At 46.0% G+C, this 16569-nt stretch overlaps 1 protein-coding gene across 1 annotated transcript in view, besides 2 other annotated features; it reads right to left on the minus strand.

Annotated features, from left to right (window-relative positions):
- The window catches only part of AGPAT4 (1-acylglycerol-3-phosphate O-acyltransferase 4), a 144095-nt gene that overhangs the window by 44426 nt on the left and 83100 nt on the right, over positions 1-16569 (minus strand). The window lies entirely within an intron of this gene.
- Positions 11311-12510: an enhancer, noted in NCBI's record as "CDK7 strongly-dependent group 2 enhancer chr6:161606735-161607934 (GRCh37/hg19 assembly coordinates)". NCBI's record gives its function as "activates an origin of replication core promoter dependent on BRD2, BRD4, P300/CBP, MED14 and CDK7 cofactors, with strong dependence on CDK7, by STARR-seq in HCT116 cells {active_cell/tissue: HCT116}" and the evidence as "EXISTENCE:reporter gene assay evidence [ECO:0000049][PMID:35650434]".
- Positions 11567-12107: an enhancer, noted in NCBI's record as "H3K27ac-H3K4me1 hESC enhancer chr6:161606991-161607531 (GRCh37/hg19 assembly coordinates)". NCBI's record gives its function as "activates a minimal SCP1, AML or CMV promoter by ChIP-STARR-seq in naive H9 embryonic stem cells {active_cell/tissue: H9 hESC(naive)}" and the evidence as "EXISTENCE:reporter gene assay evidence [ECO:0000049][PMID:30033119]".

The following is a 16569-nucleotide window of genomic DNA, read 5'->3' on the forward strand; positions in this document are numbered from 1 at the left end:
TTTCTCTTTGAAGCAATTGTGAATGGGAGTTCACTCATGATTTGGCTCTCTGTTTGTCTGTTATTGGTGTATAGGAATGCTTGTGATTTCTACACATTGATTTTGTATCCTGAGACTTTGCTGACGTTGTTTATCAGCTTAAGGAGATTTTGGGCTGAGATGATGGGGTTTTCTAAATATACAATCATGTCATCTGCAAACAGGGACAATTTGACTTCCTCTTTTCCTAACTGAATACCCTTTATTTCTTTCTCCTGCCTGATTGCCCTGGCCAGAACTTCCAACACTATGTTGAATAGGAGTGGTGAGAGAGGGCATCCCTGTCTTGTGCCAGTTTTCAAAGGGAATGCTTCCAGTTTTTGCCCATTCAGTATGATATTGACTGTGGGTCTGCCATAAATAGCTCTTATGATTTTGAGATACGTCCCATCAATACCTAGTTTATTGAGAGTTTTTAGCATGAAGCGCTGTTGAATTTTGTCAAAGGCCTTTTCTGCATCTCTTGAGATGATCGTGTGGTTTTTGTCTTTGGTTCTGTTTATATGATGGATTTATGTTTATTGATTTGCATATGTTGAACCAGCCTTGTATCCCAGGGATGAAGCCAACTTGATCGTGGTGGATAAGCTTTTTGATGTGCTGCTGGATTCGGTTTGCCAGTATTTTATGGAGAATTTTTGCATCGATGTTCATCAGGGATATTGGTCTAAAATTCTCTTTTTTTGTTGTGTCTCTGCCAGGCTTTGGTATCAGGATGATGCTGGCCTCATAAAATGAGTTAGGGAGGATTCTCTTTTTTTCTATTGATTGGAATAGTTTCAGAAGGAATGGTACCAGCTCCTCTTTGTACCTCTGGTAGAATTCGGCTGTGAATCCATCTGGTCCTGGACTTTTTTTGGTTGGTAGGCTATTAATTATTGCCTCAATTTCAGAACTTGTTATTGGTCTATTCAGGGATTCAACTTCTTCCTGGTGTAGTCTTGGGAAGGTGTATGTGTCCAGGAATTCATCCATTTCTTCTAGATTTTCTAGTTTATTTGCATAGAGGTGTTTATAGTATGCTCTGATAGTAGTTTGTATTTCCGTGGGATCAGTGGTGATATCCCCTTTATCATTTTTTATTGCGTCTATTTGATTCTTCTCTCTTAGTCTTCTTAGTGGTCTATCAATTTTGTTGATCTTTTCAAAAAACCAGCTCCTGGATTCATTGATTTTTTTAAGGGTTTTTTGTGTCTCTATCTCCTTCAGTTATGCTGTGATCTTAGTTATTTCTTGTCTTCTGCTAGTTTTTGAATGTGTTTGCTCTTGCTTCTCTAGTTCTTTTAATTGTGATGTTAGGGTGTCAATTTTAGATCTTTCCTGCTTTCTCTTGTGGGCATTTAGTGCTATAAATTTCCCTCTATGCACTGCTTTAAATGTGTCCCAGAGATTCTGGTATGTTATGTCTTTGTTCTCATTGGTTTCAAAGAACATCTTTATTCCCACCTTCATTTTGTTATGTACCCAGTAGTCATTCAGGAGCCAGTTGTTCAGTTTCCATGTAGTTGAGTGGTTTTGAGTGAGTTTCTTAATCCTGAGTTCTAGTTTGATTGCACTGTGGTCTGAGAGACAGTTTGTTATAACTTCTGTTCTTTTACATTTGCTGAGGAGTGCTTTACTTCCAACTATGTGGTCAGTTTTGGAATAAGTGCAATGTGGTGCTGAGAAGAATGTATATTCTGTTGATTTGGGTGGAGAGTTCTACAGATGTCTATTAGGTCCACTTGGTGCAGAGCTGAGTTCAATTCCTGGATATCCTTGTTAACTTTCTGTCTCATTGATCTGTCTAATGTTGACAGTGGGGTGTTAAAGTCTCCCATTATTATTGTGTGGGAGTCTAAGTCTCTTTGTAGGTCTCTAAGGACTTGCTTTATGAATCTGGGTGCTCCTGTATTGGGTGCATATATGTTTAGGGTAGATAGCTCTTCTTGTTGAATTGATCCCTTCACCATTATGTAATGGCCTTCTTTGTCTCTTTTGATCTTTGTTGGTTTAAAGTCTGTTTTATCAGAGACTAGGATTTGCAACCCCTGCTTTTTTTATTTGTTTTCCACTTGCTTGGTAGATCTTCCTCCATCCCTTTATTTTGAGCCTATGTGTGTCTCTGTACATGAGATGGGTCTCCTGAATACAGCACACTGATGGGTCTTGACTCTTTATCCAATTTGCCAGTCTGTGTCTTTTAATTGGAGCATTTAGCCCATTTACATTTAAGGTTAATATTGTTATGTGTGAATTTGATCCTGTCATTATGATGTTAGCTGGTTATTTTGCTCGTTAATTGATGCAGTTTCTTCCTAGGATCGATGGTCTTTACAATTTGGCATGTTTTTGTAGTGGCTGGTACCGGTTGTTCCATTCCATGTTTAGTGCTTCCTTCAGGAGCTCTTTGTAAGGCAGGCCTGGTGGTGACAAAATCTCTCAGCATTTGCTTGTCTGTAAAGGATTTTATTTCTCCTTTACTTATGAAGCTTAGTTTGGCTGGATATGAAATTCTGGGTTGAAAATTCTTTTCTTTAAGAATGTTCAATATTGGCCCCCACTCTCTTCTGGCGTGTAGAGCTTCTGCCGAGAGATCTGCTGTTAGTCTGATGGGCTTCCTTTTGTGGGTAAATTGATCTTTCTCTCTGACTGCCCTTAACATTTTTTCCTTCATTTCAACTTTGGTGAATCTGACAATTATGTGTCTTAGAGTTGCTCTTCTCGAGGAGTATCTTTGTGGCGTTCTCTGTATTTCCTGAATTTGAATGTTGGCCTGCCTTGATAGGTTGGGGAAGTTATCCTGGATAATATCCTGTAGAGTGTTTTCCAACGTGGTTCCATTCTCCCCGTCACTTTCAGGTACATCAATCAGACGTAGATTTGGTCTTTTCACATAGTCCCATATTTCTTGGAGGCTTTGTTTGTTTCTTTTTACTCTTCTTTCTCTAAACTTCTCTTCTCGCTTCATTTCATTAATTTGATCTTCAATCACTGATATCGTTTCTTCCACTTGATCGAATCGGCCACTGAAACTTGTGCATGTGTCACGTAGTTCTCAAGCCATGGTTTTCAGCTCCATCAGGTCATTTAAGGTCTTCTCTACGCTGTTTATTCTAGTTAGCCATTCATCTAATCTTTTTTTTCAAGGTTTTTAGCTTCTTTGCGATTGGTTCAAACATCCTCCTTTAGCTCGGAGAAGTTTGTTATTACTGATCGTCTGAAGCCTTCTTTTCTCAACATGTCAAAGTCATTCTCCGTCCAGCTTTCTTCCATTGCTGCGAGGAGCTGCATTCCTTTGGAGTAGAAGAGGCACTCTGATTTTTAGAATTTTCAGCTTTTCTGCTCTGGTTTCTCCCCATCTTTGTGGTTTTATCTACCTTTGGTCTTTGATGATGGTGACGTACAGATGGAGTTTTAGTGTGGATGTCCTTTCCGTTTGTTAGTTTTCCTTCTAACAGTCGGAACCCTCAGCTGCAGGTCTGTTGGAGTTTGCTGGAAGTCCACTCCAGTCCTGTTTATCTGGGTATCACCAGTGGAGGCTGCAGAACAGCAAATATTACAGAACAGCAAATGTTGCTGCCTGATCCTTCCTCTGAAAGCTTCGTCTCAGAGGGGCACCTGACTGTATGTGGTGTCAAATGGCCCCTACTGGGAGGTGTCTCCCAGTTAGGCTACTCGGGGGTCAGGGACCCACTTGAGGAGGCAGTCTGTCCATTCTCAGATCTCAAATTCTGTGCTGGGAGAACCACTACTCTCTTCAAAGCTGTCAGACAGGGACCTTTAAGTCTGCAGAAGTTTCTGCTGCCCTGCCCCCAGAGGTGGAGTCTACAGAGGCATGCAGGCCTCCTTGAGCTGCGGTGGGCTCCACCCAATTCAAGCTTCCCAGCCACTTTGTTTACCTACTCAAGCCTCAGCAATGGCGGATGCCCCTCCCCGAACCTCGCTGCCGCCTTGCAGTTCGATCAGACTTCTGTGCTAGCAATGAGCAAGGCTCCGTGGGCGTCGGACCCTCTGAGCCAGACACGGGATATAATCTCCTGGTGTGCCATTTGCTAAGACCGTTGGAAAAGCGCAGTATTAGGGTGGGAGTGAACCAATTTTCCAGGTGCCGTCTGTCACCGCTTCCCTTGGCTAGGAAAGGGAATTCCCGGACCCCTGCACTTCCCGGGTGAGGCGATGCCCCACCCTGCTTCAGCTCACACTCGCGTGGGCTGCACCCACTGTCCGACAAGCCCCAGTGAGATGAACCTGGTACCTCAGTTGGAAGTGCAGAAATCACCCATCTTCCGCATCACTCACACTGGGAGCTGTAGACTGGAGCTGTTCCTATTCGGCCATCTTGCCATGGTTGATCACTTTTGTCATATTTTTAAAATTTCAGTTTGCCCAATTTTGCAGATGTTGTTTTGACTGTGCTGCTCTCTGAGGGCTCAGTGAATGCCATCTCTCTACAAAGCAGTCACATTCGGATTCTGCTCTTGCAGCCACATCTGGCTTTGACCAGTTGCTGCTGCCTGTTCTACAAACCCCACCTGGAAATCTCACAGAGCTGGTGCCCAGTTCCTCAGGGTGATGACCGGAGAGGGTGCAGAACGCAGTAGGTGACCTCTGCAAAGCCCCAAACCATTGCTTGCTATTTAACCATTGCCTGCTATTCAACCATTGCCTGTCATTTAACCATTGCCTGCTATTTAACCATTGCCTGCTATTCAGGGGCTGACTGAAGAACAAAACTCAGGGGGCCATAAAGAGGTTACTAATAGGAAAAAGATGGCAACTAAAGTTTACTGAGTTCGTTTCCAACATGCGTGGGTTGTGGCCCATGCCCCCAGAGTTAGGACGTGTGTGGCTGGGAGCTGAATCCAGACACAAGGGCCCAGCACCACTCTCTAAGGTTGCTGAAGACACTAAAAGCCATGATTATATAAAACATGATTGCAGTGCGGGGGGCTAGAGAAGGGAAATAAAAGGAAGATCAGAATATACAATCACACCTTGACCTCAGGCAGCGCTGTGGTCAGTTCCTTACCTACGACATAAAGATAAAATGCCCAACTCAAAGGTTTGGTGTGAAGAGCAGATGCTAAAATATTTAAAGCACTGAATATGCACCCTGCACCAGCCAGTACATTTTTCTTCTCCTGATTTCTACTACATTTGACCTTTGAACAACATGGGCTCAGACTTCATTGGTCCACTTATATACAGATTTTCTTCCGCCTCTGCCACCCCTGAGACAGCAAGACCAACCCCTCTTCCTGGCCTCCTCAGCCTACCCAACATGAAGACAACAAGGATGAAGACCTCTATGATGATCCACTTCCACTTATGAATAGTACATACATTTTCTCTTTTTGATGATTTGCTTAATCATGTTTTCTTTTCTCTAGCTTACTTTAGAAGAATACCAGATATAACACATATACAAAATACATGTTAATCAACTGTTTGTTATTGGTAAGGCTTCCAGTCAACTGTAGGCTATTAGTAGTTAAGTTTTAGGGAGTCAAAAGTTACATGTGGCTATTTGACTCCAAAACAAAATAAACAATTTAAAATCAGAGAAAGACAGGAAAGAAATTAAGAAGCATGCCCTGAATCCACTTCTAGGCAGCCCTGAATCTGCTATCCCCAAAGACCTCCTTATTCTCAGCTCCTACTCCTCTCTAAGTAGTCAGTCACAAGACCTGGCTGCATTCTGGTCAGGATCCCAGGGATGCCTATCCTCCCTGGAGACCCCAACAATATTTCAAGCCTCCAGGCAAGCTCTTCCCTGACGCAGGTAGAGAGGGGTCTTAGGCTCCCCTTCCCCACCATTCCCCAAGGCTCCTGCTCCTTCCTCGCTCCAGTGGGTGGGCCCAGCTCCTCTCTGCAGCCCATCCCAGAAGTGCCATGGAGAATTTCTACTAAAACAGGGGAGGCAAGGACCCTGTAGGAAAGACCTCACAATCCAAACACTGCTGATGGGAGCCTTGAGGAGTACACAGTTCACTGTTCAAGCACACGCCAACAGTCAGAACCTCCCACAGCTGCAGATATGGGCACCATGTTACGTGGGGAAATGGCCTTATGATCATTAGCTCTAACCAACTTTAACAATTATATAATTACATAGGTGATTGCTATGAAATATAACAAATATGTATAATTATACATTTATAATAACCTTTTATCATTTAGCTTTTAACTGATAATAATTTAGGTTAAAAATTAAAGCCCTCATCCTCAGAAGCATCCAAAATGCAAAAGCGAAGCTACTAAGTTTCTGGTGCCTGAATGTGGTGTCATTCTTCCCTGTAGCGGTGCTGGAGGGCCGGGTCTCTCTCCTGGCATCATAAGGAGGCTTGGGAGACAGGACGGTGCCTTCACACTCACAACACCCTCACCTGGAGGTCAGTCGTCAAGTTACAGGGTGCCCACCAGACCCTCTCTGTGCCTGATAAATAAAGCCAAAACAGATTTGGTTTTATTATATTTGCCATTGTGCTGTTCAGCTTAAGAGATTACTAATAGGAAAAAGAAGTAGATAGACAAAAACAAAGTGGAGTTAAGGAAGAAAGGCCTCTGCTGTCCTATCTGTAAAGATGGAGGAGGGAAATGATGGCACCCTCTCCAGTCATCACCCTGAGGAACTGGGCATCAGCTCTGTGAGAGGGTCTGGTTTTTATTAATAAAAATTAATAAAAGCACAAAGTGAAACTACTAGCACGGAATAAACAGAAAGGTGCCTCCCAGCTCTAGCCCAAGAGTTCTTGCTGCAGGTGTTAAGTGGGCCCCAGCAACGCTGTGAAGGGGAACAGTATTCAGCAGCCCAATGCGTCTCTTGTGTCCTGGTACTCAACACAGTCTGGGATTGCTGAGGGAGGCGGGCTGCCTGCTGCTCCCATCGCCTGCAGGTTCTGTTGTGGTGCCAAGCAGTCCCTTTGTGCACTAAGCAGCTAGCTCCAAGCTGTACCACACTTACACTTCCTCCCTTGTCCCCACTCTGTCCCCTCTTCTAAGCTTCCCCATCCCTCCAGGCTCAGTTCACACCCATACTTCCAGGAAACCTCCCCTGGGTATTAGGCCATGCAGACACGGTGGGGGTAGCAGGGGGCGGGGGGCGCTTCCTAACTGCCCAACACTAAGTGAGCTTGGCTCCTGTGGGCATGTGCTGGTATTTTATTTTTACTTTTAATTTTTGTGAGACAGTCTCGCTCTGTTGCCCAGGCTGGAGTGCAGTGGCACGATCATGGCTCACTGCAATCTCTGCAACCAGATTTCAGCACTTTCTGTGACACCAAACTGGGAGCCCAGCTGTGCCTGCCCCATCCCAGAATCTCCCAAGCATCTGCTCTTCCCACTCACACGTCCGCACCATCAGATGGCGCTCAGGCTAGAAGCCGAGGGTCCAAGAAGGCCAAGCTCTTGAAAGCCATCAGGATTATATTAGGGGGTGATTTTGCCCCCAAGGGGACAAAAATTGGTTCTTGGAGGGGGCGTGGGGTGGACAAAAATCTTACTCTTTTATGTGTAAAGCACAGATACGTCCACAGCACATGAATGATAGTCCCTCTGCAGTATAAAGCATCATGGGAGATGATTAGGGAAAAAGTGTCTGAAAAGGTTCCTTAGAGGGGAAATGATGAAAACATTTGAGTAGCACCACAACCCATCTTTGACCCCGACCAGTCTGCTCTGAACAGGCAGCAGGGCAAAGCAGATTCTTGATGACACCAGTGCTCAGCACAGCCCAGCCCCTCGCCCCAGCACCTCGTCCCAGCCTCTTACCCTATCCCCTCACCCCAGCCCTGCATCCCAGCCTCTCACCCTATCCCCTCATCCCCGCACCTCATCCCAGCCTCTCACCCTATACCCTCATCCCAGCACCTCATCCCAGCCTCTCACCCTATCCCCTCACCCCAGCCCTGCATCCCAGCCTCTCATCCTATCCCCTCACCCCAGCCCTGCATCCCAGCCTCTCACCCTATGCCCTCACCCCAGCCCTGCATCCCAGCCTCTCACCCTATCCCCTCACCCCAGCCCTGCATCCCAGTGTCACCCTATCCCCTCACCCCAGCACTGCATCCCAGCCTCTCACCCTATGCCCTCACCCCAGCCCTGCAACCCAGCCTCTCACCCTATCCCCTCACCCCAGCCCCTTGAGGTGCCCATTTCCATGCTGCATGTGTCCCTGGCAGGGAGTGAAGGAACCAGCTCAGCCTGGAGTGCTCTCTGGAGCTCATGGGTAAAGGGCTGCTGCCACAGGCACTACATCCAGCTTGGCATGGCCTGGCTCCTGGAGCCTTCCAAAGAGGGTGGGCAGCCAGCGGCTGGTACAATAAGGCCTGAGAGGCGGGCACTGCTGCTCCCTGCCCATGACATAGCCTCTAAAACCCAGGAGAGGGACACTGGGCACTGCTTTTGGGAGAGAGTCCTGACATCTGGAGATTACAGCACATGGACGCGGAGTGGACAACCTCAGGAGTGAACACAGCTTCCCACCCCATGGTGGAAAAAAGCTCACAGGTGGAGCTTTCAGAAGAGGAAACGCCGAGGCATACCACTGGCTTGAGTGAGGATAACAAGAGGCAGGGAGAGGCCTGGCACTTCCCACCCTCAATGCACCTCAATGGGAGAAGAGGATGAGGAAGGGCCTAGAGTTTCCTCCTGCCCCCACCACCATTGCCACTCCAGTGCCCTGACATTGAGATTTTAAACTCCCTTCCCATAGAGCAGTCCAAGACCATGAAGCCACAACACCAAGTGTTTCTGATGACCCAGGCCTGGACCAGTCCCTTTTCTTATCCACCACGTGCTGATGTGGAGCCTGCTGACACCCAGGGCTGCACAGGAGCTTGGATGTGGCAGGGAGCAAAACAATCCTAGTGGCCAAGCAATAAACACACAGACAGTCACATAACTATAGAAAGTGCTGTGTGAGAGTCCAGGTGCAGAGGCTCACAACTGTAATCCCAGCACTTTGGGAGTCCCAGGTGGGCGGAGCACTTAAGGCCAGGAGTTTGAGACCAGCCTGGCCAACATAGTGAAAACCTGTCTCTAATAAAAATACAAAAATTAGCTGGGCATGGTGGCGCATGCCTGTAATCCCAGCTACTCAGGAGGCTGGGGCAGCAGAATCGCTTGAACCCAGGAGGTGGAGGCTGCAGTGAGCTGAGATCATGCCACTACACTCCAGCCTGGGCGACAGAGAGAAGCTCTAAGGGAAGGGAAGGGAGGGGAGGTGAGGGGAGGAGAGGGGAGGGGAGGAGAGGGGAGGGGAGGAGAGGGGAGGAGAGGAGAGGGGAGGAGAGGAGAGGAGAGGAGATGGGAGAAGAGGGGAGGGGAGGGGAGGGGAGGGAGGCTGATCCTTCTGGGGGGCCCAGAAGGCCTCTCAGATGACGCGTATATGAGAAGAGACCTGAGAGAGAGGGGAGCCAGCCTCGTGGCTCTCTGGGGACATGGGGAAGCAGGGAGGGCTTCCATATTCAAGGACAGCAAGGAGGCCCAGGAGGGTGGAGCTCAGTGGGCAAGGACGAAGGGAAGGAGAGGGTGCCAAGGGGCCTCTGAAAGGGGTCTGGCTCTTACTCTTGGTGAGACAGGAAGTCACTGGAAGTTTAGCGTGATGTATGACTTGATCCACCTGAAATACAGTCTACTAGAACCTGTGCCACAAAGGGATTGGTTTTGCCCACTGGTGTACATCCAGTGCCTGGAACTGGGGACACATTTCAGAGCATGACTTTGGCTGCTGTGTGGAGAAAGAAGTGCAGCAGGTTACGGGTGGAAGGCAGGTGTTGAAGCAGGCTACTGCAGTCAGCCCAACAGGGGTGGTGGGCTCGGTGGGCATAGTGGAAATGGTGAGAAATGATCATATTTAGGATGATATATGCTACAGGCAGAGCCAGTGGAACTTGCTGTTGGGTTCAACGTGGTGTAAGAGACAGAGGAGAATTCAGGAGTGAAGCTAAGGTTTTTGTCCTGAATAGCTGGGGAAGGACTTGCTGTTAACTGGGTTGGGGAGCATGGGGGAGAGGAAGGTGTGTGGAGGGAGATAGAGGGGCAGGTGATGGAGGAGTCTGGCATTTGGGTTTGAACACATCAGTCATCCTTGGCTTAGTGGTAGGTTCTCGTGATGTTCTGTGTAGCCCTGGCCTCCCCTGGCCCTGCCCCGGACCCCCCATTCCCACCTGTCATCCTCTGGCCTCTCTGTCCCTGCTTCCTCCCAGGCTCTGTGGTCCACCTCTGTTCCTCTCCTACACCTAGTGGCACGTCTCCTCACAGCCCATGCCCAGTCAGTCATCAGGGACAGTTTACCTGCCAGGTTTCCACCCATCTGGGCACTTGGCAAGACTAGAAATCTGACTACATCAAGCCTAGGAGCAATGAGAGCTTGGTAGCCATAAATACCATCAGCCCTTAGATTTTGTTCTCTAAACACCGTACCTGTGGTGTGTGTAGTATTCCTGGGAAAACTGTCAAACTCAAAGTATCAAGCACCCATACATAACTTCTAGTTTACAGGCAGGTCAAGAGGGAGGAGTAGGTTAAACGCCCTCACGATGAGCACCCACACACCCAGAGCACAGGAGGTTCTACGAGGCAGTGCTGGGCTTTTCACAAATTAAGGAAAAAAGAGGTTGGGTGGAGCGGGGGGTCTGTTCTAAATTAAGAGAAACTTCAGAGACATAAAAACGAAATGCAATGTATGGGCCCTATTTAAATCCCTATGTAAATACTCCAAATGTTTAAAAAAAAAAAAAAAAACAAGAGGGAGATAGTTTGGAAACAATTAGAGAAATCTGAATATAGGTGGTATTACATTATATTAAGAATGCCATTAATTTATATTCTTTTGATAATGACATTCTGATTATGTTTTTAAGATGTCTTTTTTTTTTTTTTTTTTTTTTCCAAAGACAGGGTCTCACTCCGTCACCCAGGCTGGAGTGCAGTAGTGCAATCTCAGCTCACTGCAGCCTTGACCCCCTGCGTTCAGGTGATTCTCCTGCCTGAGCCTCCCAAGTAGCTGGGGCTACAGGCCTGAGCCACCACACCTGGCCAAGATGTCTTGAATCTTTATAAAACACATCTCATGACAATGTGGGGTGATATTTCATGACATACAATGTCTGGAATTCAATTTTTACATTTTCATCAATCAACTCGATACCTGCCAGTAGGATGAAATATTTAAAGTGAAATCTAGATTCTTTGACTTTGGAGAATCCTTATGCTATTCTCTCTACTCTTACATAGATTTTAATTAAAAAGTTCAAGAAACAAGTTGCCTCTTCCACAGAAAATAAGTCCAGGAAGCAATGATCATCACGGCAGAGGCATCACCCGAAACCTCTCAGTCCTGGCTTGGGCACCGCTGCCTCTTCTCTAGCAGCAGCCGGAAGAGAGACAAAGACAAAAATGGCATAAAACTGTTCATCCCTAAAATATAGATCACGGTCATGCCTGGATTTTCTTTTTTTTAATTTCTGAAAGAGATGAAGATTACAATGCAATTTGAAAATACTTTGCATTTCAATGCCACTATATTTGAAGCGATTAAAAGGTCTAAAGTTCCCGAAGAGTAAAAGTAGTCCCTTTTCTGCCCCTCCTTTGCTTACTGCATGGAGTAGTGAGAAATTCTCGAAATCTTCCATTTTCTCCTCACCCCATTAACAAGGAAAGTCTCATTGCCTACTCTGGGCTGCAGAGCAGTCAAGCCACTGAGGTTGGACCTTCCAGCCCCCCACTTCTTGGGAGGCTGACTGACTATGGGCAGCTCCAACCCCCATGCCTCAGTCTCCTGATGGCTAACCTGGAACACTCATGCTTAAGATGAGTGAATCAGAGCCTGACTAACATGATGATGAATCACATTTCTTAGCCTACAAATCTGGGAATCAGACTCTGGAACGAGGCACAGGCAGTCCACGAGAAACCCTGCCACCTCCCTGCTGTCTCCCAGGGCTCCTCTATTTGCAGCCACATGGTATGTTTCCAAGAATTTCAACTTAGAGCAACTCGTGTTCCTGTGCACACCACCGACGGCCCCTGCAGTCCACCGGCTCGCTGCCGTCACTGGTTCTGTCCGCCCACATCTTCCATGTCCACCACCGCCTGTCCTCCCTTCCATCTCCAGCACTGCCCTCCTTACCTCTTGATGACCTTCTACCCAGTCTCTCTGCCTCCAAAGTCACCCGCTCCGCATGCCAGTCTCATGCCTTGCCGCCACTTCCTCCTGTTAGACGCCTCTGCTGGCTCCGCACGATCAACCAGATGACTGCAGGCTCCCCAGCAAGCCCCAACTCCAGGCCACCCTCTCCTTCCCCCACTTCTCCCCACCGCACTTCCTGAGCTAAAGCCCAGAGCAACTGCAACGCTGTTCCTGGAACTACCTAGAATTCTCTGTACCTACCCCAAGCTCTGGGTTCTTGCTCAAGCTGTTCTCTTGGCCCAAAAGACCATTCCTTTCTAAAGGATGTCCAGCCTTTTCTGTTTTCCAAGTTTCAGTTCAAATAAGACCACCCACTTGCCCCTCACCTCCCTTAGGAGTAGTCTCTCTCTTCAACTCGCCTGAATCCCCCACGAGGGACACAGCCTCAGACTCTGAAGTCAGACCTGAATTTGAATTCCCATTCCACGATTTACTAATAACATCGGCATATTACTTAACCTTGCTGACTTTGTTTTATCTGTAAAAATGGAATAATATGATAATCACTCACAGAACTGCTGTGAACATCTAAGAAGAGAAGACTAAGGTTTGCAAAAGAACTGTGAGTGGCAATGATGTTGGTGGTCACCTTTTTCCCGGAACCTCTTGCTCCGCCTTCCATACTTTCTTTCTCACCTTCTATTCACAGGCACGTTTTGTCTTGTTCAGTATTCTTCTACCATAGAGTGTGCTTTCCTCAACAGCAGGGTCTTGTCTTGTTCATTTCGTTGTTGTTGCTGCCCACAGCATGCAAGGCAGGGTTTGCCCAACCATGGGTCTCAAGAAATATTGGAATCCAACAGTATGGGTGACAGCAGCAGTTGTGTAGCTAAGGAAAAATTCACCAGGATCCAAATCACAGCAAAAATCAGTTAAGGATGGTATGGTCCTGAAGCCCATTTATTTATTTATTTATTTATTTATTTATTTATTTATTTATTTATTTAGAGACAGGGAGGGTCTCACTGTCTCGCTCAGGCTGGATGGAGTGCAGTGGCACAATCTCAGCTCACCGCAACCTCTACCTCTCGCGTTCAAATTCTCCTGCCTCAGCCTCCCAAGTAGCTGGGATTACAGGTGTCCACCACCACACCCAGCTAATTTTTTTTGTATGTTTAGTAGAGACAGGGTTTCACCATGTTGGCCAGCCTGGTCTCAAACTCCTGATCTCAAGTGATCTGCCCAACTCAGCCTCCCAAAGTGCTGGGCTTACAGGCGTGAGCCACCGTGCCCGGCCCAACTTTTTTTATTTTAAAAGCACCATTATAAAATTACTAACTTGTTTAGGAATATTTAAAGCAAATTGTAAAATCTACATAAGATAAATACCTGCTCTAAATTTTCATCTAATTAATGTCTTCTCTCACCTTTCCCTTATTGAAATGTAATTCAGCTGATTTTCATTATCCAAATTCATTACCCACAGAGCAGAGAAATACGTATACATTAAAATGCAGTTTTAATATGTACAAATATATAATAAAATGCTATATATGTACTTTCTAATTTTGAAATGGATAAATTAAGATGCTAAAATATACACAATTACCAAAATAATTTTTACAGGCAGAAATGTGGAAGGGACTCTATCCCGGCACTGTTTTTTAAAAAACATTGTCTTTACATGGGACATTGATTGCTTCCATATCTCAGCCTAGGACGCCTTAGGATATTTAATTTTGTCTCTCTTCTAGTAGAAAACCAACTTTTTCAGTAGAGCAGCTTTTAATTATTAAGGATTATGTATAAATTGCACATTTTTCTATCAGACTTGTGATAAATTAGGTCACCAGATAATTCTGAGATCCTCTCCTTACATCACTTGTTTCAAGTGAAACTTCCCAGTGTTTCCAACAACGTAATATTCTGTCCCTATTAAGATGACCAGGTAAAATACAAGGTACCCCATTACATTTGAATTTCAGATAAATTACACTTTATTTTTTAGCATAAGTATGTCCCACGCAATACTAAACGACATTATGAGGCATGCAATATCTGGGACACATACTAAAAAATCATGTGTATATGAAATTTAAATTTAGCTGGGTGTGCTGAATTTTTATTTGTTAAATCTGGCGATTCCAGTCCTTGTTAACCCAGCAGTCACCATGGTAACAAGCACGGCCGTGCCTCTGGGAGGGCAGCTTGGGGAGGAACTGAACAGGGCACCTCTGGGTTGAGCAGCCAGCGGCCGTCGAATGGGGCTTCCGTAAACATCATTCCCTAGAATCCCGAGAGCCACCTGGTGAGATCGGCATCGCTATCTCATTTCACCAATGGCAAATGGAAGAGAGATGGCTTTCCCAAGGTCATGCCCATTCTGGGGGCAGAATTCCTGTACCAGCTGCTGCTGACCCTGATGCTGAGGGCTCAGTCCTCTTGCTTTGCTGGCCTCGTGCACGTGCAGAACACGTGTTTCTTAGAATCTTAGTAATTTTGAAGTAATAAATCTGTGCCTATTTTATATCCCCATCTTTAAAACATCCCTGATAAATCATTTTGCCAGGGTTTCATCTACCAGGTGAGCTTTATCTAATCAAGCTATGAGGCTGGTGAGTGGGCATGCAACAGTGTTGCTAAACCCGGATTGTCTGGCAGCCCTGGGAAGACCAAGGCCAGGAATTAGGAGGCTTTCCCATCTGCGGACTGTCCTGCCTCCTCCCCATCTGGCTCTTGTGGTGAAGTCTAATGAGTGTGCCAAGACCAGCAGGGTGCCCTGAGGTCACAGCTCAGGTGATGGGTGGGGTCCAGGGAAGGGGCACGAACAGGATGGAGGAGCAGGGAAGAGGAGGAAGGCATTGAGGAATCGGGGTGAAGAGAGAACCCACATGTATTGTACACACACTGTAGCCACACAGTGAGTGAGGCTCGTCACATGCGGAATTCACTTACTTACAACCTTAGTTGCCCGTCAGGACTATCCCTCCTCTGCACAGATGAAGAAGCTGAGGCTCTGAAAGTCTTAGCAACTTGCCCCAGGCCACTGAGACGGTACGGACTTCTGTCTGTGCTGTACACTTGCACACGGCAGATCCAGGCCAGCTGCACATCCGTGGGCTCCTCCATCAGTCTCTGGCCCCCTCTTCCACCTCACTGTCTCCACCTGCCCCTTCCTCACCCACCGCCCTCCTAACCCCTCTCTCCTCCACCCAAAAAAGGGCTGAATGCCAACCTGAAATGTGGTTCTCTGAGTATTTGTTTTCATTTTCAAGATAGCACTGAGTTTTGTGCAGGCCCAGGCTCTGTTCTGTCTTATCAGTTCTGAAATGCTCCGTTGGTTCACATTTTAACATGCTGAAATCAGGGTGTGTCTCACTATTGATGGCATCCCTTAGTTTAATTGGAGCATTTCTTTTCCTTTCTTAGAGATGCATAATAAATATGCACCTTACGGTCAATGACTAGAGTCTATGAAATACAGGAATTAAAACGAAACAGGGTGACCTTAGGAAGCTGATGTCATTTAGATGAGCTGTATCTGAAGTGCAGCCATGTATGTGGGAAGTGCCAGGGTCAGGGGAAGGGAGGGATGAATAAGGAACACGGGATTTTTATGGCAGTGACGCTCTGCTGCAGGACATTGTCTTCATGGGCACATGACATTATGCATTAGTCAAAATAATGTATCATTATCAACATTGGTTCATCAATTGTAACAAATGTACCAGACTAATGGAAAAGCGAGTGAGCAAGTGAGAGAGAGAGAGACTGAATGTAAGAGAGTATATGGAAACTATCTGTACTTCCTTCACAAATTTTCTGTAAACTTAAAAGTGCTCTTAAAAAATAGCCCATTAATTTTTTAAAAGGCAGAGTGATTTGATCCTTTTATATTTCTCCCATTAAAAAAGGTTAAAGAAAATACATAAAATACTATTTTATAGTTCTGATTCTCCCTCTGCCTCCCAACTGGTTTTAGCTATCTGTGGCCAATCAGCAGAGAGCTCATGGGAAGCTTTACCCAGAAGAAACCAAGGGAAAAAAAAAAAAAAAAAGATCCTTAGACCTTAAGATATTGATCAAAGGAGTAGAAAGATTCTCATTCCACCTTAACTTCTGAATATTCCAAATCTCACTCTCTAATCATGCCAATGGGAAAGAAAGACAAGCAATATGCCAATATAGGTCTGAAGGAAAAAGGAACAATTTATATATGATCTAAAATACCCATCTCTAGAATAAAGACAAGCAGAAATAAACTAATCATTAAAAAGTCAATTTTGTGGTTCTTGGGTAGTAATTAGATGTATTTATCCAATAGACTGTAATCTAAGGTTATAACAATAGTCAGACTTTGTTCTTTGTTCCCAATAAATATATCCAGATGTCCAGAGGAAAAAAGTTTTTTCCAG

The sequence above is a fragment of the Homo sapiens genome, chromosome 6, assembly GCF_000001405.40.
Source record: "Homo sapiens chromosome 6, GRCh38.p14 Primary Assembly".
Taxonomy (NCBI): Eukaryota; Metazoa; Chordata; class Mammalia; order Primates; family Hominidae; genus Homo; species Homo sapiens.